Here is a 9,620-nt window from a genome sequence, read left to right on the forward strand (position 1 = left end):
TATAAGGAGTAGAGTTCTCTTTCATTATCTTCTGCACCTGTTCCTCTCATCCTCCTTCTTGACTCAGAGGTAAGGAAAGTGAACAGTTTGGGGTATGTCTTCCAGGACTGTGACTCCTACCCCTAAGTAATATTTGGTCACCTGGTGGACATTTTTTCCCTGACTCTTCAAGGATCAGAAGGAGTTTTGATGATGAATCTGGTGGTGGGGGAAGTCAAAGAGGAACAGAGGAAAGCCAGAGGGGGAGGTCAGAGGGAGGAACAAACAGCCATCTTTGTCGGCTACAAGAGGAGGCTCCTTTGATCTAGTGTCCCCACATGTTCCCCACATGAAGGCTATGACTTCAGGGGCAGATGTAGAATGGCCTCTTTTGGTGGGGTACCAGATGAAGGAGTCCACAAGCCTAGCTTCTGGAAAATATCTGATCTTTCAGCAAATTCTGTTGTCTCTTCCTACAAAATACATCCAGAAGATGACCACTATCCATTATTTTCACATCTAACATTGTGATCCAAACCAGTCTCATCTCTCTCCTGGATTATTGCAATAGGCCCACTGTTCTCTCTGATTCAGCCTTTGCCTTCTAAAAGTCTATTCTCAACACAGTTACCAGAGTGATCTTTTCAAATGTAATTTCTCCTGCAAAACTCTGCAAGCTTCCCATGTCACTGAATCTAAAACTAATCAATTATCTAGACCTAACTACCTGTTTACAAGGCAATTCAGCTCATAGGGGAACATCTAGATAACATCACAAGAATACAATTAACCATTTCCAAACTGTGGAAAATTCTAGAAGATAAATTACTCAGTTTTTTCCAACAGGTGAATGCCTTAAAAAGGGAGGGAGAACTGTTATAGACTAAAAGATGTATCAACCAATCACAATGTGTGGACTTTGTTTGGATCTTGATCTCAACAATACAGTTATACAAAGATATTTTAGCATATTTGGAGGAAATTGAGTATGGCTTGGTTATGAAATTATATAAAAGAATTATGATTAAATTCATTTGGTGAGATAATGATATTTCTGTTATGCTTTTTAAAAGTTCATATCTTTGTAGGTACATACTGCTGCATTCAAGGAGAAATGACATAATGTCTGGAATTTGCTTTAAAATACAGCAAGTCCCCCACTCCTCTATCTCAAACACCTAAATAAAAAGAAATGAACAAAAGACTAAAAGTCTGTGTGTGTGGTGGTTGGAACAAGAATGGCAGAATACTGATAACTGTTGAAACTGGATTATGTGTACATGAAACTGCATTCCTATTATACAATTCTCTCTACTTTAGTCTGAAAATTTCTACCACCCAAAAAAATGCTCTTTGGCCCCTCTTTTTTAGGGATTCTTTAAGAAACTGGAGATTTAATCTCATCAGCAAATTTTTACAAGGCTACATTTGCCCTATCTTCATTCTCCTTCTGCCTGGGGACAGTCTGCAGTGCCCTTTCAAATTTGGGCCCATCTTGGTCCTCTGGGTATTTCTACTGCTTTTTTAATGCAGTGATTTCTGGGAGTCCCCCTCATACTTGTCAACTAATAGTCCCACTGGACTGGGGCCACTGCCCCAAATAAGGTGTCTCTAATTTTAGATTGGAATCAGGAAGATCCAGATGGGTTGCCACTTATAACTGGTATACATTTCAGCCCATGAGCAGAGATGTGCAGGAAATAGTATGCAATTTTCTTATGTAACTCCATTTAATTTGTAATTTAAGCCTTGGTTCTGTTGATGTCCTCTTTGGATTTCCACCCCTCCCTATTTGGAAATCATACAGGGCTGAGGTTTTGAGGGTGGGGTGAGAGCATAGTCTCTGGTTATTGGAGCATACAGCTGAAGTTTAGATGCCCATCAGCTCAGCTGCCAGGGAGTCTTTAGGTGGTGTGGCTCCTATGCCATGTGTGAGATAGGTCGCCATGATTCTGCCTGTACGCATAATACAGGCAGCCCTTCTTGAAGTTTTTGCCACATGTACCTCTTCAGCCACATTTTAGAGGGCTCCTCTCCTCCATAGTTTGAAGATCCCTCTCTCTCTCTGACCTAATCAGTACCTCTCAACACTATAGTAGAGCAAGAAGGGGGCATGCCTAGTTAAAAAAAATCCTGCTTCCGTTATGTTTCTGCTAACTTTCCTCTTTCCTACAGAGTTTGAGATTTTAGAAATAAAAGTCAGGTGGGGTGTGGTGGCTCATGCCTACAATCCTAGCACTTTGGGAGCCTGAGGCAGGAGGATAGCTTGAGGCTAGGAGTTCAAGACCAACCTGGGCAACATACTGAGACCCTGTTTCTCAAAAAAAAAAAAAAAAAAAAAAATTAGCCGGGTGTGGTGCCTCGTGTCTGGTGCCTGTTGTCCCAGCTACTCGGGAGGCTGAAGTGTGATGATCACTTGAGCCTAGGGGCTGAAGTGACCCTATGATCACACCACTGCAATCCAGCCTGGGCAACAGAGAGAGACCCTGTCTCTGAACAAACAAAACAAAATAAAAACAACAAAAAAAAAAAAAAGAAAGAAAAGTCAAGATGATTAACATGCTATTGCTGCTTTCAGCCCTGCCATACCCCTCCTCTGAGCAATGAACACAAAGCCTGCTACCTGCTTGAGTCCAGAAGGGAAAGGGTGAAAAAAAAAGAAGAAAAGAAAAAAATTAAACAGAACATGTTAACATCTCAAAATATTCTGCCACATTTGAAATACGGGAGAGTTGAATTCATTAGAGGACTTCTATTGGAAAAAAGGAATTGTTTTTGAAAATGATGTCTCTGCAGTTGCACAGACTGTGTTGGACCTAGGTCCGTAGAACGCCGTGATGTCATCATTGATGTCAGAGAATCTGCGATGGGCCTGGTGACCTTTGAACCTTAACAGCCCTGCAGTGTAGTGGGCACTGGGCAGTGCTGCTCCTTCACTAAGCGGTCTGAGTTCTTTAGCTATCTCGGAGATTCAACTACGTTTACTCGTACTGAATCTTTTTAATGAATTTCCTGAGAGCCAAGAAGGGCCAATCTACAGGAAAAAGTGGGAGGTGGACATTAAGCATCTTCTAGAAACTCTTCTAGCTGATATCATGAAACGACGACAAAAGAGGAAACATTTGGAAAATGAAGAGTCCCAGGAAACCGCTGAGAAGGGAGGAGGTATGTGCGGGGCAAACTTTCTGGGGCACAAGCGTCACTGGCCAGCCTGAGCCGCCTTCTTTTTCTTTTTTGAGACGGAGTCTCGCTCTATCGCCCAGGCTGGAGTGCAGTGGCGCGATCTTGGCTCACTGAAAGCTCTGCCTCTCGGGTTCACGCCATTCTCCTGCCTCAGCCTCCCGAGTAGCTGGGACTACAGGTGCCCACCACCACGCCCGGCTAATTTTTTGTATTTTTAGTAGAGACGGGGTTTCACCGTGTTAGCCAGGATGGTCTCGATCTCCTGACCTCCTGATCCGCCTGCCTCGGCCTCCTTTTTTTTTTTTTTTTCGTTTCTGAGACAGAGTCTTGCTCTGTCGCCCAGGCTGGAGTGCAGTGGTGTGAGCTCGGCTCACTGCAAGCTCCGCCTCCCAGGTTCACGCCATTCACCTGCCTCAGCCTCCCGAGTAGCTGGGACTATAGGCGCCCGCCACCACGCCTGGCTAATTTTTTTTTTTTTTTTTTTTTTTGTATTTGTAGTAGAGACAGGGTTTCACCGTGTTAGCCAGGATGGTTTCGATCTCCTGACCTCATGATCCACCTGCCTCGGCCTCCCAAAGTGCTGGGATTATAGGCGTGAGCCATCGCTCCCGGCCAGCCTGAGCCTTCTTTAGGGAGGAGAAACTGAGGAGAATGTACCACCTATGCAGTAGGGAGGGGAAGACCTGGCTGTTGGCTGATGCCCGCACATCCATCTTGAGGGTACCCAGATGTGAGACGGACAGGAAGTTCAGATGCCACTGGCACACAGAAAGCCAACCCTGCTGGGCTGAGAACTTTTGCTCTGGGGCTGCTGGTACCTGGAACTATGCCAGTCTCAGGCAGGCGGGGGACCCACTTACAAAGACCCAGTGATGCAGCCTGAGTCTCATCTTTCTCTCGTATTCTCTTTATTTGCTCTTTCTCTGGGGTGACTGAGGTGGAAGGTGTGAAGGGTGCTGGTAGAAGTCTATGATTTGCACTACACCTTTTAGCAGAAACGAGAGTAGCCCAATGAGTTAAAGGCCTTGTTGAAAAATATCTTGAGAAGTGAAATGCTTGTTAGAAAGTAGATTAAACACTTGTTTAGGGATGGCGTCATAGTGAAACCACGGAGGTTTGATTGCTTCAGCGGGAAGAATTAACCAATTAATCCAATAGAGTTTGTGAATCCACAGTGTGGGACTTCCCAGAGGAAATGAAGCACAGGGTAAGGGCCTCAGATCGCTGTCAATTTACTTCCCAGGCTGCATGATAATGGCATGTATTAAATGTAAACAAGCCACTTATCCTGAAAGGGGGATGCTCACATGCAGGAGACAGGGCAGAAAGGAGCCTGCCCCAGAGATGGCCCTGGAGGCTTCTGCCCCGATTAGAGCTCAGCAGCGCCTATGAGGCATAAAGACCTGTAGGTTGAGCCCTGGGAATGGAGGCGTGGAGAGTAGGCATGGAGAGCAGGGGGCTGGGACAGGAAGGGGAAGGCAATGGTTTTCCTCTCCTTCATCTACCCTTACATTTCAGAATGTTTTGTCTGCCTGTGTGTGTGTCTGTGTGTGCACATGTGTGTGTGTGTTGGGAGGGGGAGGACTGGAGATAATGGGAGCACAGTGGTGGGGTCTGCGGGGTGAACTTCCTATCACCATGCCTGGGCCTGGGCAACACTCAATACACATAACAGTGTATACCGAATTTTTGTTAAGGGTATTCCAGGAGACAGTCACTCATATGCCCATATATACTCTGATACAGAGAAAGAGTCACACACCTCCACACACAGTGGATATAGTTATATACACATACCGTTCCTCTATTACATACTCACACAACCCATGTGTGTGACAGTCTTTTCTTCCTACAGAGATTTCTTGTGTGTGGGGAGTGTGTGTGTGTGTCTCCTCAACTCTCACACAAACACATCTATGTTAAACTATCTCTAAATACCTCTTTAAGAGCCAGTCACACATCATACATGCCATATCTGCAACACATTGTGTAGCAGAGCCAGGCCTGCTTTGCATAGACCACAACGAAACAAAGATTCACCACCATCCCCTTATTAGGGTTGCCGGATAAAATACAGGATGTTCAGTTAAACTTGAATATCAGATAAACCACCAATGATTTTTTAGTATAAGTGTGTCCCAAATATTTTATGGAACATACTGACACTAAAAATAAGTATGACAAATATTGCACGGGACATACTTACGCTAAAAAAATTATTTGTAATTTATCTAAAATTCAAATTTAACTTGGCATCAGCTATTTTTGTTTGCTAAATCTGATGACCCTTATAAATTCATAATGAGCTGACCTATGATATACTTATATATTTCTGCTTAATGTCTGTCTTCCTTGTCTAGAATGGAAAGTCCACTTAGAAGAAGGACTGTTTTGTTCAGTATTCCTAGAGCCTAGAAGAGTGGACTGGTGTCTGATTCATGGTAGCTGTTCATGAAAATATTGCCAGATGAATGAATTAATGTACATTATAAATACAAGCCACACCATACAATCAGGAAAAATTACATATTGCATAATTTCAGGGTTGTAAACACAAAACTATGCACACAAACTCCACAGACACAGACACATGTTTCTACAATATACCCACACAAATCTACACATATCAAAGGCTATCTGGTATGTATCACTCTTACGCTTCAGACGTACTCATAGTCACCACACAGGCCTATGTTCCTATTGATACACTATCAAAATACCTGTTGACTGTAATTAAATACTGGAGTATCCACCAGAAGCCTGTCTCACAAACCATGTGTGTTCACTACACCTGACATAGGTCAGCCACTCAGTAAATATTTGTTGGATGGTAAATGATGCACAAACATTACCCATCCATCATATCTCTGTTCCCTTCATACCTTTCTCAGGAATGTCAAAGTCCCAAGAGGATGCCCTGCAGCCTGGATCCACTAGAGTGGCCAAAGGCTGGAGCCAAGGGGTGGGAGAAGTTACTTCTACCTCCGAATACTGCTCCTGCGTTTCTTCTTCACGCAAGCTCATCCACAGTGGTAAGGGTGCAGGGTTCCTTCGGCACGTGGCTCCTTGGCTGTGGGGTTCATTGGGCATGAAAATATTTGAGTGTGGGGCTCTGTGGGCATGAGACTCTTTGGTTGCAGTGCTGCTTGGGTGTAAGACTCTTTGGGAGTGGGGCTTTTTGGGTTTGGGGCTCCTTCGGTGTGACAGTCTTTGGGTGTGGGGCTCCTTGGATGTGACATTCTCTGGGTGTGAGGTTCCTTGAGCATGAGACTCTGGATGCAGGGCGCTATGGGTATGTGACTCTTTGGGTGCTGGACTCCTTAGGCATGGGATTGGGTGCAGGGCTCCTTGGGTAGGGGGCAGGAGGCCCATAGATCCAAGGATGAGGCTAAGAAGAAACCCAGGGCAGTTGGATATGATCAGAGCTCTGCAGAGGTGTCTGGGCAAGATGACAGAGCTGTTAGAAGAGCATGGATATAAGCTCAGTGTAGGAGAGCATGAGCCCTGGTGTGCAGTCAGGCAGTCAGGGAGCAGAGGCCAGAAAAGTCTGCTGTTGGGGTGTAGGGCCACAGGACCAGATTAAGCACTTTCATCGGAACTATTTGGGCTCTGCCTTTGCCTTCCAGAGAAAGACAGATTTCCTCAGCCCAGGCCTCCAGCACTGCAGCGGGACTCTAGCTCAGGCCCACACACCTCACACATACAGCCACACGCTCCACAGGTACACTTTCTGCACACACACCACCCAAATGCATGACCTGCAGTGCCATTCTCCCACACTACCTCCCACATTCCACAAATAACACATCAATGATGGCACCAACTCACATCCTCATAGCACACACATGCTGCCGACATTCCACATATGCTGCAGTCCTCACCACCATACTCCACACCCCTGTATATGGACACCCCACCAACATCCCTACACGCAAATGACACTAGAATCACTACCCCACAATATGAACAACAAATACCAAGCTCACTACACAGCTGCATCTCACCACAGTCCCTGTCTCCTGCACCACACATATTTAACTTACGTTCCCTCAGCTCCTAGCATGGCCCATGCATCTGCTCATGTTTCTAATTTCCTTTCCCAGGAATCCAGAGAATACATCGAGACAGCCCCCAGCCTCAATCACCCCTGGCCCAGGTTCAGGAACGAGGAGAGACTCCTCCCCGCTCACAACATGTCTCCTTGTCGTCCTATTCATCCTATAAGACTTGTGTGTCCTCTCTGTGTGTAAACAAAGAGGAAAGGGGCATGAAAATATACTACATGCAGGTACAAATGAACAAAGGTGTGGCTGTCTCCTGGGAGACAGAGGAAACTTTGGAGTCCTTAGAAAAGCAGCCAAGGATGGAAGAAGTGACCCTTTCTGAGGTTGTGAGGGTAGGTACTCCCCCCTCTGATGTGTCCACCAGAAACCTCCTGTCTGACAGTGAGCCCAGTGGGGAGGAGAAAGAGCATGAGGAAAGGACAGAATCAGACAGCCTGCCAGGCTCACCCACCGTTGAGGACACACCCAGAGCCAAGACTCCTGACTGGCTGGTGACCATGGAGAACGGCTTCAGGTGCATGGCCTGCTGCCGGGTGTTCACCACCATGGAAGCCCTCCAGGAGCATGTGCAGTTTGGGATCAGAGAGGGCTTCAGCTGCCACGTCTTTCATCTCACCATGGCTCAGCTGACAGGCAACATGGAATCAGAGAGCACCCAAGATGAGCAGGAGGAGGAAAATGGAAATGAGAAGGAGGAGGAAGAGAAACCAGAAGCAAAGGAGGAGGAGGGGCAGCCCACAGAAGAAGACCTTGGCCTGAGGAGATCCTGGAGCCAATGTCCAGGCTGTGTGTTTCATTCTCCAAAGGACAGGAAGTGAGCAAAGCCTGGGTTGTGGGTCTGCTGAGGGAGCAATGGCTTCCCCGAGCCAGTACTGTCTCCCCAGTTCAGGCTTAGGTCTCTGTAAGGAAGATTTGGGGGCTTTATTGGCTCAGGGAACAATGGAGGGGGACATAACTGGGATCCCTGCTTCTTGCCTAGGCATCTAATAAAGTCTCGATTGTAAGTCAGGATTTGTCTTGACCTTTCCAGCTCCTGCAGGAAATTCTGAGAATTTCAAAAGTCGCATTAACTAAGAAGTGTCTTTCTTTGGTTTGATTTTCACACAGCAGCTGAGACTTATGGGCCAGAAGATACTGGAAGATGGTGTGGCCTTCTCTTGCAAGAGGTAAGGAGTGAGACTTGCAGTTTTCTGAGGCTGTGTTGTGAGGGCCCAGAGGAATCCAAGGGAAGGAGCTGCAGGGATGCACTGGGTCACCTGGTGGCTCTGCAGCCACATCAACTTATCGTGCACCTGGTGCTTCTGGGGGAATTGTCCTCCATTTGCTTAGATGACAAGGTGAAGAGCATTGACTGGGAACTTTCTCAATGTCTGCATGATTGTCCTCAATTCTAAGAGGAGGTGCTGCAGCTCTTCTAGGCAGCGGAAGCTCAGTGTAACCTCAAGGGCCAGGATTGGCCTGAAAGGACAGGATGCCAGCAAGATCAGAGGTGTGGAGTCTGAGAGCCTTTGGCCTGAGCTGGGATCCCACCTGAGCCCATAGATATAGCCCTTGGGGAAAAGGGGAATTTGGAGAGGTAACAACATCATCCTGATGAGACACCAAGAGAACTGGAAATGTTTCAGAACCTTCATTTTGCTGCATTTGATCTGGAAATGAACTCACTGTGGGTTGCATGACTCTGAGCTTCAAAACAAAGGTGAAGGGTAACTGACTAGCAATGCTTGTATTGTTTCTTGCCTCTTCCTCTTCTGCCTCAATTGTTTTCTTCACTTCCAGGGAGAAGAAAGAGCCATGGAGATAGTAGCAGACAGGCTGCCCAAGGTATGAAGCAGATGAGGGACCAGCACTCAGTCTAACATGTAAACATCATACGTAATAAAGGTTGTGTTTCAAACCTTACCTGGATATATTATTTAATTAACAAATTAATCTACCTATCTATTCATCATTTTCTTTTTTTTTCCTTTTTCTTTTTCTTCTTCTTCTTCTTTTTTTTTTTTTGAGATGGAGTTTCATTTTTGTTGCCCAGGCTGGAGTGCGATGGCATGATCTCGGCTCACTGCAACCTCTGCCTCCTGAATTAAAGTGATTCTCCTGCCTCAGCCTCCCAAGTAGCTGGGATTACAGGCATGTGCCAGCACACACAGCTAATTTTGTATTTTTTTAGTAGAGATGAGGTTTCACCATGTTGGTCAGGCTGGTCTCGAACTCCTGGGCTCAAGTGTTCTACCCGCCTGGGCCTCCCAAAGTGCTGGGTTTGCAGGCGTGAGCCACGGCGCCCAGCCCTATTCATTATTTTCATCTATCTCTCCAGTGGTTTGTGAACGAAGTTTTACATCAGCACTAAAGATATCTACCAGCCTTTTCCAGAGGCAGCAATAGCCAAGCTCC

The 9,620-nt window shown here is 46.1% G+C and overlaps 1 protein-coding gene across 3 annotated transcripts; it reads left to right on the forward strand.

The window, feature by feature from the left end:
* Window positions 1-2,863: 2,863 nt before the first annotated feature.
* FAM170A (family with sequence similarity 170 member A) lies at window positions 2,864-9,128 on the forward strand. Of its 3 annotated transcripts, none has more exons than NM_001367956.1 (5): window positions 2,864-3,144; window positions 6,054-6,194; window positions 7,266-8,040; window positions 8,334-8,392; window positions 9,006-9,128. In NM_001367956.1, the coding sequence occupies exons 1-4, from the start codon at window positions 3,075-3,077 to the stop codon at window positions 8,338-8,340; spliced, it is 993 nt and encodes a 330-aa protein (NP_001354885.1). In that variant the 5' UTR covers window positions 2,864-3,074; the 3' UTR covers window positions 8,341-8,392; window positions 9,006-9,128. The 3 variants fall into 3 exon arrangements, with proteins under 3 accessions (NP_001354885.1, NP_877438.2, NP_001157463.1); NM_182761.4 differs by having other exon boundaries at window positions 8,337-8,392; NM_001163991.2 differs by lacking the exon at window positions 6,054-6,194 and having other exon boundaries at window positions 8,337-8,392.
* The last annotated feature ends 492 nt before the right edge of the window (window positions 9,129-9,620 follow it).

Source organism: Homo sapiens, chromosome 5 (genome assembly GCF_000001405.40).
Source record: "Homo sapiens chromosome 5, GRCh38.p14 Primary Assembly".
Classification (NCBI taxonomy): domain Eukaryota; kingdom Metazoa; phylum Chordata; class Mammalia; order Primates; family Hominidae; genus Homo; species Homo sapiens.